The following is a 20,154-nucleotide window of genomic DNA, read 5'->3' on the forward strand; positions in this document are numbered from 1 at the left end:
ACCACTACAGAATGAGATCTTTTAGGAATGTATATAAGAACACGCTACTAAACAAAATATTCATTTCATTAGATTTTTTAAAAATTTAAGTTTGGTATCTAAAAGCATATGGCCATTTTATAATCAAATACAGAAAGACAAATTTTAGTAACTTGAGAATGGCCACAAGGTTACTGAAGAACAAGAACTTAAAGCTATGGCTGAAGATGCCCATTTCAATATTACATCCACATTTTTTTCACTTACATGCAATTTCCCTCTCTTTAATAAAAATTAGAAAATGATATAATTGCACCAATGGGTTTGATATGGATCTGATCCAAATCAAGCTCTTTAAAAACAATTTTACAGATAATGTAAAAATAAGTTTTGCCTTTCTAACACCCTATGCCCTCTTCCAGATATTATCACTCTACATGCAATAAAAAAGCATATACATATATACATGTGTGTATGGATAGATACATGTATATAATTTGTATGCTTTTTTATATTTAAACATGTCTAGCCCTATTCACCCTATAAATCCCTTAATCTTAATGGGGGTGAGTAGCAAGAAATACTTAGCCTACAATATCTGCACTCCAGTGTTAGTGTGGTAGGCAGCATTTGATATGGTTCCCAATGATAACCCTTGTGTAGTCACCTCCCCTGAGTGTGGGTGGAGCATAGTGATTTGCCTCTGGCGAACCCAGTACAGCAAAGGGGATGGGATGTCAGTCGCTGATGTCACAGAAGACTGTGACTTCCATCTTCTGGTTCTCTCTTGCATTCTATGATGTTTCCAGACACTCTGTGCAAAGAACAGAGGCAAGCCTCCAGCCAGGAGCTCATGAAATCATGAACTGAGGCCTCAGTGCAATAGCTCATGAGGAAATGAATTATTTCAACAGCCAGGTGAGTGAGCTACTTGGGAAAATTTCCAGGAGAGCTTTGAGATGGTTGCATCCTTGATGGAGACCCAGAGCTTGAGGACCCACAGAAACTGCGAGATAATAAATGTTGGGTTATATAGTAATAGCTAACAAATGCACTGTTTAAAGAAATTCGCTCATTAAAAATTTCCATGGCAGTACCCTCCTTAAGTTAGAGGATGCTTCTCTTCATTTACATACAGAAAGTAGCTTCTTTTATCCAGAAAAAAAAAAAAGGAAAGATCTGGGTGCAAACATACTGTCAGATAGAAATAAAACCTACTGTTCAATACATCAGTAGGGTGACAATAGTTAACAATCTACTGTACATTTCAAAATAGCTAGAAGAGCATAACTAAAATGTTCCTAGCACAAAGAAAAGATAAATATTCAAGGTGATGAATATCCTGATTACCCCAATTTTATTTTTACACATGATGTGAATGGATCAAATTACCAAATGTACCCTGAAAATACGTGCATTTTGTATTGACAAAAAAATCTGTAGCAGAAGGTGTGTGTTTAATATTGCATTTCATTTACATATATCTAAGTAAAACAAGCTTACCGCCATTCTCTAATGAGTCTGCCAAGTAAGCTAACCAAACTCTATAAAAACAATTTTTTTCAAAATTACAAATTTTTGAAAACATATTTTATGACCTTTGTATTTTCCCAAAGAATGACTAAGTCTAAACAATAAAAGTCAAAACAATATTGAAAGTGAAAAATATCTGGTCTCATAAACATTCCCACATCAAAAAAGCCTGATTACTTTGAAGAGGGTATTATGGGTTTCTGTAAACAGATTTGGTGTTGCATGTTTGGTACGTCTGCCATATGATTCGGTGCCATGGAAAGTTTTGTGTGTTTAGTAAATAATTCCCATTTAAATTCCAAGTAATTGTTCATTGCAGAAAGTTGAACTTCTAAGTCTAACCTCACCCATGATTACCATAAAAAAAAACAGTGTTCTGCTAACCGACAGCATACACCCATTTGTTCTCCAAAGGATCATGCATACTTAAAGGATGATTCCTCTATCTAGTGGACACAGAGTAAATGCGGACCTTTGAGATGAAAAAATGGATGTCAGTGGTACCCTATACATTCAGATCTTTAGGACCAAAGCTGTAATAGAAAACTGTTCCTATATCATTATCAGTTGACCTAAGGTAATTACAAGGAGTTTCACAATCAAGAATGTTTCTTGGATGTCCTTTACAGTGCACAGAAAACCTTCAAAGCCCAGACAATAGAGAAGAACAATTGTACTTACGTCATCGAGTAGAGCAATATGGTTTATACTTGTGATACAAGACCAATACATACAGCTTTATATAATTTAATTTTGTTACCAAAAATATTTATTTTATTGTTCTATATCCTATTTTGGAGATTTTTATAATAATTCTCACAAATCTTTTACAAATTTTTTTTTAAAAAAACAAAAATGTAGAGAACTGCTTTGGTAACTTTCTTATTTGTATGTCTCCTAGATCTGCAGTCGTAGGAACAAAAGAAAACGTAGAATTCAGGCTAAGGGAGAGGGTAAGAGAGTGCCTCTGCTTTATCCCATGGCTTCTCCGTGGCTTGGTTTTTGCAGGTCTGCCAATTAGTGCCATCCTTTCCAATGTCCCCATCCAATTAAAATACTGACTAAGCTACATTGCTTTCAAAAGTTCTATTTCCCACTATATTATAAGTAAGTGAAATGACAGTTTAGTGGGGAAGAAATAAGAGAAAATGATGGGCTAAAACGATACACACTCCTTACCATGCTGCCACATTTAATATGCTCCTCAGCCTTCTTCTGATGGATCCTAACTCCCCCACTGTCTTCCACTGTACTTTGATCAAGACGTCTGACAAAAGAACAGTTCCCTCTCTGAACTCTACTAAAATATACACACCGTAATGAATAATTTCTCCAGGAAAAGAAAGGAAATAATAGTTCAGGTGAAGTTTGTGGTCACATATGGAAAGGAAAGAAAAACCAGGCTCAGTTCCAGAATGTCTGTGTGTCAGAGTGAGATATGTATGTATAACGCATCTCTGGACACAGCCAGCACCACCATCCTCTGTCTCCGCTTTCTCATCCAACATAGGCTTTAATGTGGAAGTTCTGACATCTGCATTTTACAAATGAAGAACCTGGGGCCTATAAAACTTACACTGCTTGTCCGAGGTGATATAACTAGTTTTTCCAGTGTGGAGGGCAACAGACACTAGCTCAGTGAAAGAAACAATCAGTTATAATAGTTTATGGGAAACTTTTAAACTTTGAACCTATGTGCTTCTATTGCTAAATCCCTAAGCATATAAAATGCACAGGTTAAAGATAAAACTGCTTACAGCACTTTAGATATTTTACAGGCTTTAAAATTTTTACTGTCACAGAAGTTCACATGCAAAATTGAAAAATATATAGTTGCAAATATTTGCATTAAAAAGTCATTATAGAGGTATTTTCACATTTCAACAAAATTAAGACTACACACTCTAAGCTATTGGCTTGAACTATTCATGCCAGAAACATTCTGTCTCTGTAAGTTCACTGCTAGATCATCAAATACAGATTTTTAGGTGATTAGTACAGGTTCCTCAAATATAATTTTGTATCATGGATCTTAATGATGACTTGCACAGCAAAGTTTGCTTAATAATGAAAAGTGAATAATATTTTACACATAGAATTATTTAAGATTATACTTTAAAGGGACTTAGTCTAATTTAATTTTGTTACCAAAAAATTTCATTTTATTGTTCCATATCCTGTTTTGGGGACTTATTTATAATAATTCTCAACAATCTTTTACAAATTTTTTTTTAAAAAACAAAAATTTGGCCAGGCGCGGTGGCTCACACCTGTAATCCCAGCACTTTGGGAGGCTGAGGTGGGTGGATCACCTGAGATCAGAATTTCAAGACCAGCCGGGTCAACATGGTGAAACCCTGTCTCTACTACATATACAAAATTTAACTGGGCATGGTGGCGGGCACCCATAATCCCAGCTACTTGAGAGGCTGTGGCAGGAGAATTGCTTGAACCCAGGAGGTGGAGGTTGCAATGAGCCGAGATTGTGCCATTGCGCTCCAGCCTGGGCAACAAGAGAAAAACTTCGGCTCAAAAAAAAAAAAAAATTACAGAACTGCTTTGGTAACTTTCTTATTTGTCCCTTAGTCTATTTTAAGTATTAAACTATGAAAGCTCATTTTAATTATCCATAGTCATGTCTATAGGATTATTTTAGAAAGAGAGATAAGGCCTGGTTTAAATTCGTTCAACAAATTGTGAAAGCAAGCTTTATGTTACACTTCTAATCTAGAGCAAAAATTTTAAAACATTCCAAATTATTTTACATGAGTTACTGAGCATTGGATAAAGTCAGAAAACTTTATACTACGTATAAATGGCCAAGCCAATAATATAATCCATAAGTCTACATTTAAGCTATCTACAAAGAGGTTATTTTAAGTGATAAATTTTCTTTTTGAGTTTGCATGTTAAATCTGAATTTCAAGTAAACATCAAAGGTTTTTTTAATTCAAGTATGCTCCATGTAACATTTGGGACATACGCTAAAAATTATTGTTTATGTGAAATTCAAATTTAACTAGGCATCATATATATAACCTGGCAACATTACACTTTACTGGAAAGTCAACTACAGTGCAGTGCATACAGACCCTTTTGCCCTAGCCAAATGAGAGTTCCAGGGATTATTTACACTCTCCATTTTCTGATTGAGATTTGCCTCAATAAACTCTACTTTCTAACTGCACTATGTGACAATAGTAGTGTTTGTCCATGACTCCTTTAGACAACATGAGAAAAAGAACAGATTTTTCCCACTGTAATAATCTGAGTACAAACAAAAAAGATTTTTTTTTTGAGACAGGGCCTCACTCTTTTTCCCAGACTGGTGTGCAGGGGCGGCAACCTCTGCTCACTGCAACCTCCGCCTCCGCCTCCCAGATTCAAGTGATTCTCCCACCTCAGCCTCCCAGGTAGCTGGGACTACAGGCACCCACAACCATGCCTGGCTAATTTTTTAACTTTTTTGTAGAGACAAGGGTTTCACCGTGTTGGCCAGGCTGGTCTTGAACTCCTAACCTCAAGTGATCCGCCCGCCCATCTTGGCCTCCCAAAGTGTTAGGATTACAGGCGTGAGCCACCACAAAGAGAGAATATTACTGACCATGGATACAGATCTGAGTTCTGTTACTCTACCCGTTATCTGTCCTCGGGCAAATATATGTAACTCCTTGGGCCTTGGCTGTCCTGACTTCAGTAGCCTCCTACAGCATTAACATTTTGCAATTCCATTATCCTACGTGAACTAAAATTTGCCTAGTTCTTGATAACTGAGGTCATGCTTGCATATTTTGGAAGCAGAGGAAACAACAACCTTTAAGTTAAAACAAAACCAAGGGATTAGCTAAAAGATGGTCCTTATATTTAATTAAAATGTATAGTTTCAGAAGAAATGTTACCCACAGGTTAAAAATGCAGCCGAAATAATTTCATAAACAATAGCTGTTATTTGCCACCCACAAATAAGTTTAAATACCTGTCATTCACTGGACATTCAGTACCAAATTACTTTTGAGACCACTAAAAATAGCAGTGGACCGTTCAACTTGCTAGACTCTTGTATGGTACCTCCAAGAAACTCTAAAGTAGTCACAAATCCAATGAAAGCTATCTATGCACAAAGGACAAATCCACAGATTCTCCAAATTTTTAACCCTAATTCTATTTCTTAATAGATTTTCCAAATTCTTTGTTTTAAATAGCATTTCTCTGCACAAAGAATCTGTAATGGTAGCTCATTGTGCTTTCAGTGTAACTAACATGCAGCTATTAAAGACAGTGACAATGAATGCATTTCTTTAGTTAAGTACCATGCCCTCTTATAATCTGAATGCCAGGCAGTGCTTTCAAATGATTAAATAACCTGTTTAGGGAGATAAACAATTGACTACCAATATCTTTAACATAACATAAAAGTAAATAATCTTAAATTACACCAGTGGACAAGGAATCTGGCTTTGTAGGGTTGCCACGTAAATATAAGAATTTTATTAGATTTGAAATTCAAATTTCATATTTGGAACAAACTTAACAAAAAGTATTATATATTTGAAATTCAATTTTAACTGGGAAAATCATACTTTTATTTGATAAACCTGACAGTTCTATTTGGGATACCTAATATGAGATGTTTGCTCATTAGCATTTCCCCAATGCTAATAGTTTTATTGGTTTCTATTTTTTTCCTAGAGGCAAGAGGTTCTACTATTATAGCACACACATAGATGAGTAACTTTCCAGCTGTAATTTCACTTATCAATAATATCCTCCTGCTTTTAACAAATCAGATACCTACCATTAAAACTAGTCTACAGAACATACATTCGGAAGATAAACATTTTACCTACCTGTGGGTAAGATATGAGAAGCCCATATAACAAAATATTTCTTTCTTTTACTTCCTTTGCAAATTCTCTAATCTGCATTAGGTTTTCCATTTTCTGACTGGGAGGTACTAATTTAAAATCAAGAAAATGAACCTGCAAAATATAAAAGACAGTATTTAGAATATCATTCCCTTCAACTTTCTCTGGAGGGAAAAAACATTAAAGAAGCTCAAAACCCATATGATTACAATATTGCAATAATCTTTATTAACTTTTGTTAATCTCTAGTTATGCTTCAAGCCATACTTAAGATCGATGAATCCTCCTTTATAAACACAGATGTAGTAAACACTCAGAGAAAACGAGGTTGAAAAACCAAATGCTGGGGAGGAGCCAAGATGGCCGAGTAGGAACAGCTCCGGTCTACAGCTCCCAGCGTGAGCGACGCAGAAGACGGGTGATTTCTGCATTTCCATCTGAGGTACCGGGTTCATCTCACTAGGGAGCGCCAGACAGTGGGCGCAGGTCAGTGGGTGCGCGCACCGTGCGTGAGCGGAAGCAGGGCAAGGCATTGCCTCACTTGGGAAGCGCAAGGGGTCAGGGAGTTCCTTTTCCGAGTCAAAGAAAGGGGTGACAGACGCACCTGGAAAATCGGGTCACTCCCACCCGAATATTGCGCTTTTCGGACCAGCTTAAAAAACGGCGCACCACGAGATTATATCCTGCAACTGGCTCTGAGGGTCCTACGCCCACGGAGTCTCACTGATTGCTAGCACAGCAGTCTGAGATCAAACTGCAAGGCGGCAGCGAGGCCGGGGGAGGGGCGCCCGCCATTGCCCAGGCTTGCTTAGGTAAACAAAGCAGCCGGGAAGCTCCAACTGGGTGGAGCCCACCACAGCTCAAGGAGGCCTGCCTGCCTCTGTAGGCTTCACCTCTGGGGGCAGGGCACAGACAAACAAAAAGACAGCAGTAACGTCTGCAGACTTAAATGTCCCTGTCTGACAGCTTTGAAGAGAGCAGTGGTTCTCCCAGCACGCAGCTGGAGATCTGAGAACGGGCAGACTGCCTCCTCAAGTGGGTCCCTGACCCCTGACCCCCGAGCAGCCTAACTGGGAGGCACCCCCCAGCAGGGGCACACTGACACCTCACACGGCAGGGTATTCCAACAGACCTGCAGCTGAGGGTCCTGTCTGTTAGAAGGAAAACTAACAAACAGAAAGGACATCCACACCAAAAACCCATCTGTACATCACCATCATCAAACACCAAAAGTAGATAAAACCACAAAGATGGGGAAAAGACAGAACAGAAAAACTGGAAACTCTAAAACGCAGAGCACCTCTCCTCCTCCAAAGGAACGCAGTTCCTCACCAGCAACGGAACAAAGCTGGATGGAGAATGACTTTGACGAGCTGAGAGAAGAAGGCTTCAGACGATCAAATTACTCTGAGCTACGGGAGGACATTCAAACCAAAGGCAAAGAAGTTGAAAACTTTGAAAAAAATTTAGAAGAATGTATAACTAGAATAACCAATACAGAGAAGTGCTTAAAGGAGCTGATGGAGCTGAAAGCCAAGGCTCGAGAACTACGTGAAGAATGCAGAAGCCTCAGGAGCCGATGCGATCAACTGGAAGAAAGGGTATCAGCAATGGAAGATGAAATGAATGAAATGAAGCGAGAAGGGAAGTTTAGAGAAAAAAGAATAAAAAGAAATGAGCAAAGCCTCCAAGAAATATGGGACTATGTGAAAAGACCAAATCTACGTCTGATTGGTGTACCTGAAAGTGACGGGGAGAATGGAACCAAGTTGGAAAAAACTCTGCAGGATATTATCCAGGAGAATTTCCCCAATCTAGCAAGGCAGGCCAACGTTCAGATTCAGGAAATACAGAGAACGCCACAAAGATACTCCTCGAGAAGAGCAACTCCAAGACACATAATTGTCAGATTCACCAAAGATGAAATGAAGGAAAAAATGTTAAGGGCAGCCAGAGAGAAAGGTCGGGTTACCCTCAAAGGGAAGCCCATCAGACTAACAGCAGATCTCTCCGCAGAAACCCTACAAGCCAGAAGACAGTGGGGGCCAATATTCAACATTCTTAAAGAAAAGAAATTTCAACCCAGAATTTCATATCCAGCCAAACTAAGCTTCATAAGTGAAGGAGAAATAAAATACTTTACAGACAAGCAAATGCTGAGAGATTTTGTCACCACCAGGCCTGCCCTACAAGAGCTCCTGAAGGAAGCGCTAAACATGGAAAGGAACAACCGGTACCAGCCGCTGCAAAATCATGCCAAAATGTAAAGACCATCGAGACTAGGAAGAAACTGCATCAACTAACGAGCAAAATCACCAACTAACATCATAATGACAGGATCAAATTCACACATAACAATATTAACTTTAAATGTAAATGGACTAAATGCTCCAATTAAAAGACACAGACTGGCAAATTGGATAAAGAGTCAAGACCCATCAGTGTGCTGTATTCAGGAAACCCATCTCACGTGCAGAGACACACATAGGCTCAAAATAAAAGGATGGAGGAAGATCTACCAAGCAAATGGAAAACAAAAAAAGGCAGGGGTTGCAATCCTAGTCTCTGATAAAACAGACTTTAAACCAACAAAGATCAAAAGAGACAAAGAAGGCCATTACATAATGGTAAAGGGATCAATTCAACAAGAAGAGCTAACTATCCTAAATATATATGCACCCAATACAGGAGCACCCAGATTCATAAAGCAAGTCCTGAGTGACCTACAAAGAGACTTAGACTCCCACACATTAATAATGGGAGACTTTAACACCCCACTGTCAACATTAGACAGATCAACGAGACAGAAAGTCAACAAGGATACTCAGGAATTGAACTCAGCTCTGCACCAAGCAGACCTAATAGACATCTATAGAACTCTCCACCCCAAATCAACAGAATATACATTTTTTTCAGCACCACACCAAACCTATTCCAAAATTTACCACATACTTGGAAGTAAGGCTCTCCTCAGCAAATGTAAAAGAACAGAAATTATAACGAATTATCTCTCAGACCACAGTGCAATCAAACTAGAACTCAGGATTAAGAATCTCACTCAAAACCGCTCAACTACATGGAAACTGAACAACCTGCTCCTGAATGACTACTGGATACATAACGAAATGAAGGCAGAAATAAAGATGTTCTTTGAAATCAATGAGAACAAAGACACAACATACCAGAATCTCTGGGACGCATTCAAAGCAGTGTGTAGAGGGAAATTTATAGCACTAAATGCCCACAAGAGAAAGCAGGAAAGATCCAAAATTGACACCCTAACATCACAATTAAAAGAACTAGAAAAGCAAGAGCAAACACATTCAAAAGCTAGCAGAAGGCAAGAAATAACTAAAATCAGAGCAGAACTGAAGGAAATAGAGACACAAAAAACCCTTCAAAAAATTAATGAATCCAGGAGCTGGTTTTTTGAAAGGATCAACAAAATTGATAGACCGCTAGCAAGACTAATAAAGAAGAAAAGAGAGAAGAATCAAAGAGATGCAATAAAAAATGATAAAGGGGATATCACCACCCATCCCACAGAAATACAAACTACCATCAGAGAATACTACAAACACCTCTACGCAAATAAACTAGAAAATCTAGAAGAAATGGATAAATTCCTCGACACATACACTCTCCCAAGACTAAACCAGGAAGAAGTTGAATCTCTGAATAGACCAATAACAGGAGCTGAAATTCTGGCAATAATCAATAGTTTACCAACCAAAAAGAGTCCAGGACCAGATGGATTCACAGCCAAATTCTATCAGAGGTACAAGGAGGAACTGGTACCATTCCTTCTGAAACTATTCCAATCAACAGAAAAAGAGGGAATCCTCCCTAACTCATTTTATGAGGCCAACATCATTCTGATACCAAAGCCGGGCAGAGACACAACCAAAAAAGAGAATTTTAGACCAATATCCTTGATGAACATTGATGCAAAAATCCTCAATAAAATACTGGCAAAACAAATCCAGCAGCACATCAAAAAGCTTATCCACCATGATCAAGTGGGCTTCATCCCTGGGATGCAAGGCTGGTTCAATATACGCAAATCAATAAATGTAATCCAGCATATAAACAGAGCCAAAGACAAAAACCACATGATTATCTCAATAGATGCAGAAAAAGCCTTTGACAAAATTCAACAACCCTTCATGCTAAAAACTCTCAATAAATTAGGTATTGATGGGACGTATTTCAAAATAATAAGAGCTATCTATGACAAACCCACAGCCAATATCATACTGAATGCGCAAAAACTGGAAGCATTCCCTTTGAAAACTGGCACAAGACAGGGATGCCCTCTCTCACCACTCCTATTCAACATAGTGTTGGAAGTTCTGGCCAGGGCAATTAGGCAGGAGAAGGAAATAAAGGGTATTCAATTAGGAAAAGAGGAAGTCAAATTGTCCCTGTTTGCAGATGACATGATTGTATATCTAGAAAACCCCATTGTCTCAGCCCAAAATCTCCTTAAGCTGATAAGCAACTTCAGCAAAGTCTCAGGATACAAAATCAATGTACAAAAATCACAAGCATTCTTATACACCAATAACAGACAAACAGAGAGCCAAATCATGAGTGAACTCCCATTCACAATTGCTTCAAAGAGAATAAAATACCTAGGAATCCAACTTACAAGGGATGTGAAGGACCTCTTCAAGGACAACTACAAACCACTGCTCAGGGAAATAAAAGAGGATACAAACAAATGGAAGAACATTCCATGCTCATGGGTAGGAAGAATCAAAATCGTGAAAACGGCCATACTGCCCAAGGTAATTTACAGATTCAATGCCATCCCCATCAAGCTACCAGTGACTTTCTTCACAGAATTGGAAAAAACTACTTTAAAGTTCATATGGAACCAAAAAAGAGCCCGCATCACCAAGGCAATCCTAAGCCAAAAGAACAAAGCTGGAGGCATCACACTACCTGACTTCAAACTATACTACAAGGCTACAGTAACCAAAACAGCATGGTACTGGTACCAAAACAGAGAAATCGATCAATGGAACAGAACAGAGCCCTCAGAAATAACGCCACATATCTACAACTATCTAATCTTTGACAAACCTGAGAAAAACAAGCAATGGGGAAAGGATTCCCTATTTAATAAATGGGGCTGGGAAAACTGGCTAGCCATATGTAGAAAGCTGAAACTGGATGCCTTCCTTACACCTTATACAAAAATCAATTCAAGATGGATTAAAGACTTAAACGTTAGACCTAAAACCATAAAAACCCTAGAAGAAAACCTAGGCATCACCATTCAGGACATAGGCATGGGCAAGGACTTCATGTCCAAAACACCAACAGCAATGGCAACAAAAGCCAAAATTGACAAATGGGATCTGATCAAACTAAAGAGCTTCTGCACAGCAAAAGAAACTACCATCAGAGTGAACAGGCAACCTACAAAATGGGAGAAGATTTTCACAACCTACTCATCTGACAAAGGGCTAATATCCAGAATCTACAATGAACTCAAACAAATTTACAAGAAAAAAACAAACAACCCCATCAGAAAGTGGGCGAAGGACATGAACAGACACTTCTCAAAAGAAGACATTTATGCAGCCAAAAAACACATGAAAAAATGCTCATTATCACTGGCCATCAGAGAAATGCAAATCAAAACCACAATGAGATACCATCTCACACCAGTTAGAATGGCGATCATTAAAAAGTCAGGAAACAACAGGTGCTGGAGAGGATGTGGAGAAATAGGAACACTTTTACACTGTTGGTGGGACTGTAAACTAGTTCAACCATTGTGGAAGTCAGTGTGGCGATTCCTCAGGGATCTAGAACTAGAAATACCATTTGACCCAGCCATCCCATTACTGGGTACATACCCAAAGGACTATAAATCTTGCTGCTATAAAGACACATGCACACGTATGTTTATTGTGGCATTATTCACAATAGCAAAGACTTGGAACCAACCCAAATGTCCAACAATGATAGACTGGATTAAGAAAATGTGGCACATATACACCATGGAATACTATGCAGCCATAAAAAATGATGAGTTCATGTCCTTTGTAGGGGCATAGATGAAATTGGAAATCATCATTCTCAGTAAACTGTTGCAAGAACAAAAAACCAAACCGCATATTCTCACTCATAGGTGGGAATTGAACAATGAGATCACATGGACACAGGAAGGGGAATATCACACTCTGGGGACTGTGTTGCGGTGGGGGGAGGGGGGAGGGATAGCATTGGGAGATATACCTAATGCTAGATGACGAGTTAGTGGGTGCAGCGCACCAGCATGGCACATGTATACATATGTAACTAACCTGCACAATGTGCACATGTACCCTAAAACTTAAAGTATAATTAAAAAAAAAAAAGAAAAAAAGAAAAACCAAATGCTAATATTCTATTTCGCTTACAGTCAAATACATAAAGTATGTGCATTTTCATCAAATCATTCAACTTAATCGTAATTTTTAACTGGGTGAGATAGAAATACAGTATTACATCTACTAAGAAATTAATAATACAAATAAAATTCAAGAAGAGTGATTATCCAGTTAAGTAAATTAAGTTTTTTAAAAGAATCTCTTTCAATGTGATCAATAATTGTCGTCTCTAACATATAATTATTTCTTAAACTAAGAGGGCTTTTATAGAGACTATTTTTAAGCAGTTAGGTTTTTCCTGAAAGTATTCTACTGATCATTTTTAAAACATTTTAAAAATTTTTACTGATACATAATACTTCTACATATTTATGGGGTACTGTGATATTTTGTTACATGCATAGAATGTGTATTGATCAAGTCAGTATATCTAGGCTGACCATCATCTTGAACGTTTATCATTTCTATGTTTTAGGAACATTTAAAGTCCTCTTTTCTAACTATTTTTAAATACACAATACATTAACTCTTGTCAATCTTGGCCAGGCATGGTGGCTCATTCCTGTAATCCCAGCAGTTTGAGAGGCTGAGGCAGGCAGATCACTTGAGCCTAGAAGTTTGAGAACAGCCTGGGCAACAAGGCGAAATGCTGTCTCTACAAAAAATAGAAAAGTTAGCCAGGCATGGTGGCATGCGCCTGTAACTCACTACATACCCACATGCCAGCTGGACTAAGGAACAATGCCGCTGCTTAATGTTAAAAGTCTCAACATACTATTTAACTTTTTGAACTACAGAATTACCTTTGTTACTTAGATGCCATCTACAAACTGACTTATTTCTATGTTATCCCATCAAACCAACTACTTAAATTACAGGAAAACTTTAAGACATTAAAGAAACATAGGAGAAGTATTTACAAATTCTTTTCATGAATTAACTTAAACACAGATACAGAACTCAACCTTATGAAATGCATAATTAGGTTAACAAAATTCAAGCATGAAGAAGTAGATGCATCTCAAAATTCTCTTTACCAGATGCAAAGGCGTGATGATGACATGAAAACAGAAGACAATCTCCTGCAGATGTTCTTCCTAATACCATGAAACTTAAGCATATACTTTACATAGTGCTACTAAGTTTGAACTTCTAAAATATACCAACTACTTAGGTGTTCTAGGAAAAAAATTCAGTTGGTACAAAATCACAATTTTAATTTAAAAAAACAGAGCTGTTTTATATAACCACAGCAGAGGGTTGCAAAATGGTAACTCAAGAGAAATGTAAATGTTTTTGCCTTAATAAAATAAACTTACAGCCTGGACAGGCTTGCATCCATTTAAATACAGCCAAACATTTCATATAGGTTGAGTACTGCAGATTTGCTTATAGATACACATCAAGTAGATTTTTTTTTGTCTTTTTGTACCATTCACTAATTCACTAAATAGAATTACAGTAAAACAGTATTTCCCATGCAGTGTGACATTTCTAACAGTTCTTTCTCACATATACATAAAAAAGATAAGCCTATCCTTCTGCCCCCCACAAAAAAGAATATCTAATTTCATTTTAATGAAAGGTAGCACATTTACTCATATAAACTGGTAAACTGCTTAAACATTTAACATGTGGTTAGCCTCATGGCTTTGTGGGTGGGCGAGGTTTCCGGCTCTCGGTGTTTGGAAAAGGCTCCTCTGTGCATTTTGTGTCTTTACACTCAGCTCTACGCAAGCTTTATGTTTGTCTAGAATTCATTTAATATATTCCTGGTCCCAGATGAATTCCAGTTAACTTTTTATATTTTAAAATGGGATTTTTTACTTCTGAGAACGGATACATTAATTAAAGGACTATAAGTAAGTATCCTGCACGATGGTCTTTAAAACCCCACATTTAACACTTTCGTCTCATTGCAGAGTCTATGTTCACAATAAAAGGCATGCGAAGGGAGTCAGGATTGGTGGTATGAGGGGAAATAGTCTCTGTTTATTTCACTAAGAACCAAAGCTTAAGTATATACCTAAATAATGCACTGCTTAATGCCCACCAAAGTGGAAGGAAGGATGGTCAAAATGAAACTTCTTATTATGAGTTAGAAAGAATTGGTAGATAAACCAGAGAGATTCTTTGAATCTACATAATAGCTGCAAAATTATCAACATGTACATAAAAAAGTAAATTGTGTTAATAAAACCCAAAATCTTCAAAACATCACTTTTCAAAAGAAATATAATGAATCTAAAAACTGATGACACCAGCCGATACTAAACAGGTCAAAGTAATATTTGATCTGAAGGATTAGAAAAGATTTTAGAAAAACTATCTTATTTCAACTATTTAAGAATTAGATTCCATTAATTAATTTAATAAGCTACGCTTAAAATAAGCTTCTAATAGTGAACCACTTCATTGTAGAACAAAATTAAATCAGAGTCATCATCAAAGTCAACTCATAATTCTGATGAATAGAAACTAAATTATAAACTATCATGGAAACTCAAAGCAAATGTTTAGCAAGTCACTGGTAAATCTTCACAAAATAAAATACAGGCAAAACTAAATGGAGAAATAATGGCATTTAACAAAAGGTAGTAAACAAAACACATTGCATTAAAACATTAACCATACAAAATATTTAAATGTTTCTTTTGATTCAAAGAATTAAAAAGTAAATGAGTTTCATAATATCAGTACAAATGTTACATAAGTATACACTGTTTCAAATCCTTATTCAAAAGATCAAAGTAATGAAACCAGAAACTCACATTTTAAACAGTTAATAGGAAAACCTAACTTCAAAAGTATTTTAAGTCATAAAATAAATAGTTTTTCAAATTATTTTACAAGGTGGTCTCTCTTACAAGAACATACTTTAACACTGTTGTATTATGGCACAATTATCTCAACATTACATACATCTACAATTACCTTAATTAACATCTGTAACAAATTTTAGAATCAAAAGTTAAGAACAATCCCACTGATTAATATAAAGCATTGATTTGTTTAGCTAACTATAAAACATAATTCTATGTTCATTTACTTTCTCCAAGAAAACTGTCAGAATATAAATCACCAAAGTTACCAAAAAAAGCAGGTATATGCTTCTCCAAAATTTATCCGAGTTTACAATATCATATTTTAGTGAATTGTCAAAATTTCATTTTACATTATAAAAACTAATACTGCTTAAGCATCAATCTATAATTATTATTAAGGTTCTCTGCAGGCCATGTAGGCATGCATTACTTGTCATTTTTTTAAAAAAATACTAAACAGTTTTACAGTTTACTTCATAAATAAAGAGGACTTCTGCATTTAGGCCAACTACTACAAGTCCATCATGCTACTTCTCATCTATAAGAATTGATTCTGTTTTATGTACCTACTTTTGCAAGTTTTTTAAAAATAAATATATTTAATGTGTTCCAAAGGCAAAGTAATCTTAAAAAAACTTTTTAGAAGATGAGGTATTCAGAATACACAGAAAAAAAAATATTCAAAAACATGACCAAGATGCCTGTAAGGCAGGTATACACTGTATCCAAGTCATATTAGAAAAGCCTCCACCAATTCATCCTGTGCCTTCTCTTAGGTGCAAACCAAATCATTAAAAGTCTTGGTAATTAGTAATTATTTAATAATCTCAGGAACAATGTTTTGGCAAAATAATCTTAGGTTTCTTTGAGCCCAGGAAATAGATAATCTAATAATCAAAATCAATGTAGATATATAAGATTAACATCTTATACATATTTATTCTGAATTTGTCATTAAAAATGTGAAAATATATGAAGAACTGTGCTAAGAAATGTAAAAAGAATGACCATAGACAAAAAATATAATAACAAGAAGTTACAGTTACAGTGCTTCCAATGAAAAACTGGAAGGTCACTTTTGCTTTACTTTGTTGGGATATTCTGGATTAAAATAAAATGCCAACTTAACATTTTATTTTGAACAGATTTTTTTTTCCATGAAGGTACATCATGTGATAGAGCAGACCCAATTCAATGGTCGGCCAAATAAAACACAGTCTACAAGTGCACTGTACACTTGAGTAGACATTAGCCATATACTGTTACATTTAAATTCAAATTTATTAGTATTAAAAATAAAACTCAGGTCATCAGTTTAGCTATATTTCAAGAGGTCATAGCCTCAGTTAGATAGTGGCTACCACATATAAAAGAAATACAACTTTTTGTTAATTTTCACATAGGCAGATAAGATTGATAAGTTTACACAACGTGATGTTCTGAAGCATACATTAGTTATGGAATGACTAAATCTATACAATATACATATGTATGGCCTCATAGTTATCAGTTTTGTGGTAATATTTTATATCCTCTCAGAGTTTTTCAAGAACGTATTAATTGTAGTCAGACTGTACAATCAATCTTTTATTCCTCATTGAAGTGAAATTTTATAATCTTTGACATTTCCCTAACCCTCTACTATCTGCTGCCATAGTATCAACTCTTTCAGATTCCACATGAGCAACATCATTCAGTATTTGTCTTTCTGTGCCTGGCTTACTTCACTTAATATAATGTCCTCCAGATTCAGCCACGTTGTTGCAAATGCCAGGATTTCCTTCTTTTTCATGGCCAAAGAGTATTTAATTGTGTTTGTATCACATTTTCTTTATCTATCCATTTGTGGACACTTAGGTTGATTCCATATCCTAGCTATTGTGAAAAATGCTGCAATGAACATAAGAGTACAGATGTCTCTTTGAAATAATGATTTCATTTCCTTTGTATATGTAGCTAGTAGTGGGGTTGGTAGATGATACATTAGTTCTATTTTTAATTTGTTAGGAATCTCCATACTGCTTTCTATAATGGCTGTGGTAATTCACATTCCCACTAACAAGGGAATGTATGGGTTCCCTTTTCTCCATATTCTTGTCAACACTTATCTTTGTCCTTTTCATAACAGCCATTCTAATAGGCATGAGGTGATATCTCATTGTGGTTGTGATTTACACTTCCCTGATGATTAGTGATATTATTTTTTCATATACCTATTGGCCATCTATTTCCTTTTCAGACACGTCTATTCAGGTCTTCTACTGTTTTGTTAATATCTTGTTTTCTTGATATAGAGCCAAGTTTTTTTACATAATTCTGATATTAAGCCCTTATGAGATGTATCGTTTGCATATGAGATGTATGTATAGTTCGCATATGAGATGTATGGTTCCTCTCATTCTGTAAGTTGTCTCTTCATTTTTCCTCAGCTGTGCAGAAGCTTTTAAGTTTGATGTGACACCAATTTGTCTATTTTTGCTTTCGTAGCCATTACTCTTGGAGTCATACTAATAAGTCATTGCCCAGATCAATGTCATAAGGATTTTCTCCTATGTATCTTCTAGTAGTTTCATAGATTCTAATCTTACATTTAAATCCCTAATCCATTTGGAGTGGTTTTTGTATATGGTGTGAGATAAGGGTCTAATTCCATTCTTCTGTGTGTGGATATTCAGTTATCCCAACAACATTTATTGAAGAGATTGTGCATTCTCTATTGTGTGTTCTAGGAAATTTTGTCTAAATCCGTTGGCTATAAACATGGGATTTATGGGCATTCTATAACGTTCCATTTGTCTATGTGTATTTATATACCAGTACTATGTTGTTTTGGTTACTGTATCTTTGTAGTATATTTTGAAGTCAGGTAATGTGATTCCCTCCAGCTTTGTTCTTTTTCCTCAACACGGTTTTGACTATTCAGGGTCTAGCAAAAGATTTTCCAATTTTTTTAGCCCTTCAAAAAAACTCACTCTTAGTTTCGTAGATCTATTCTACCATTTTCCCACTATTTCATTCATTTCTGCTCTATATTGTTTCCTTCCTTCTCCTAACTTCAGGCTTAGTTTGTTGTGTTTTCTAGTTCCTTCAAGTGAAAAGTAGGTGAAATGAAATATTTCTTCATTTTTGATGTAGGTGTATGTTGCTATCAACTTCCCTGTTAGAACTGCTTTTACTGTATCCCATAGATTTTGGTATGTTAGGTTTCCATTTGTTAGTCTCAAGGAATTTTTTAATTATAACTTTAAATTCTTCATTGACCCTCTGGTTGGTCAGGAGGATGTTTAATTTCCATGTATTTGTGAATTCTCCAAAGTCCTCCAGTTCCTCATTTCTAGTTTCATATTTTGTAGTCAGAAAATATTATTTGGTATAATTTCAATCTTAAGTATTTTAACACTTGTTTCATAGCCTAACATGATTTACCCTGGAGAATATTCCATGTGCAGTTGAGAAGAGTGTGTACTCCTCAGCTGTTCAACTCTTGGACTGAATATCCTATGTATGTCTGTTATGTCTATTTGATCAAGAGCATAGTTTAAGTCCAACATTCCCTTATTGGTTTTCTGGTTAACCTGCTCATTGCTGGTAGCAGATGTTAAAGTACCCTACAATTATTGCATTGCAGTTTTTCTCTCCCTTCAGATCTATTAATATTTGCTTCATATTATATATTTAGGTATTCCAACATTGGTTGCATATATCACAACTGTCCTATCTTCTTACTTGATCCCTTTGACATTATATAATGACTTTTTATATTTATTTGCTAAAAGTATATTTTACCTCATGAATACAGCTACTCCTACTTTTTTGTTGTTGTTTCAATTTGTATGGGACATCTTTTTCTATCCCTTCACTTTCAGTTTGTGTGTGTCCTTACAGGTAAAATTAGTCTCTCTTTGGCAGCATATTGTTGGATTTTTAAAAATCTATTAAGCTACTTTATGTCTTTTGATTGGAAAAATATACTTACATTCAAGATAATTATTGATAGGTACAGACTTACAACTGCCATTTTTGTGCATTGTTTTCTAGTTGTTTTGCCAATTTTTGTTCCTTTCTTCCTCTATCTTCCTTTGTGGCCAAGTAAATTTTTTTAGTGTTATGTTTTTAATTTCTTGCTTTTTATTTTCTGTGTATCTAATATAAGTTTTTGCTTTGTGGTTACCATGATGCTTACAAAAACCACATTAAATTGTTTTAAGGTGATGAACACTTTGATTTTAACAACAAAAACACTACACATTTACTTCACTCACTCCTCCATATTTAGTATTTTTCATGTCACAATTTTCATATTGCATATCCTTAAATTTGTTACTATTTTTAATAGGTTTGCCTTTTTGCCTTCAAACTAGTGATAAAAATGATTTACACACAACCATTACAGCATGAGTATAGTGGATTTCACTGTATACTTTTACCAATAAGTTTTATATTTTCAAATGTTTTCATATTATTCATTAGTGTTGTGCTTTTTTTGGCTGAAAGGATTCCCATTAGCATTTCTTGTGTATCAGGTCTGGTGGTGATATACTCCCTCAGCTTTTGTTTGTCCAGGAA

The 20,154-nt window shown here is 36.0% G+C and overlaps 1 protein-coding gene and 1 long non-coding RNA gene across 6 annotated transcripts in view, besides 1 other annotated feature; one reads left to right on the forward strand and one right to left on the reverse strand.

Annotated features, from left to right (window-relative positions):
- Positions 1-20,154, reverse strand: part of CRPPA (CDP-L-ribitol pyrophosphorylase A) — a 334,014-nt gene that overhangs the window by 122,182 nt on the left and 191,678 nt on the right. For all 4 annotated transcript variants that reach the window (NR_160656.1, NM_001101417.4, NM_001368197.1 and 1 more), the window contains one exon: positions 6,360-6,491. Coding sequence is in view for 3 of the 4 variants with exons in the window: in NM_001101417.4 (NP_001094887.1) it covers positions 6,360-6,491 (132 nt within the window). In the remaining variant the exon portion in view is untranslated. The remainder of the gene's footprint in view (positions 1-6,359; positions 6,492-20,154) is intronic.
- The window catches only part of CRPPA-AS1 (CRPPA antisense RNA 1), a 60,119-nt gene continuing 40,744 nt past the window's right edge, over positions 780-20,154 (forward strand). For both annotated transcript variants that reach the window (NR_038947.1, NR_038946.1), the window contains exon 1: positions 780-897. This is a non-coding gene — a long non-coding RNA (CRPPA antisense RNA 1). The remainder of the gene's footprint in view (positions 898-20,154) is intronic.
- Positions 5,534-6,035: an enhancer, noted in NCBI's record as "NANOG hESC enhancer chr7:16254865-16255366 (GRCh37/hg19 assembly coordinates)". NCBI's record gives its function as "activates a minimal SCP1, AML or CMV promoter by ChIP-STARR-seq in naive H9 embryonic stem cells {active_cell/tissue: H9 hESC(naive)}" and the evidence as "EXISTENCE:reporter gene assay evidence [ECO:0000049][PMID:30033119]".

This window comes from Homo sapiens, chromosome 7, assembly GCF_000001405.40.
Source record: "Homo sapiens chromosome 7, GRCh38.p14 Primary Assembly".
In the NCBI taxonomy this organism is placed as follows: domain Eukaryota; kingdom Metazoa; phylum Chordata; class Mammalia; order Primates; family Hominidae; genus Homo; species Homo sapiens.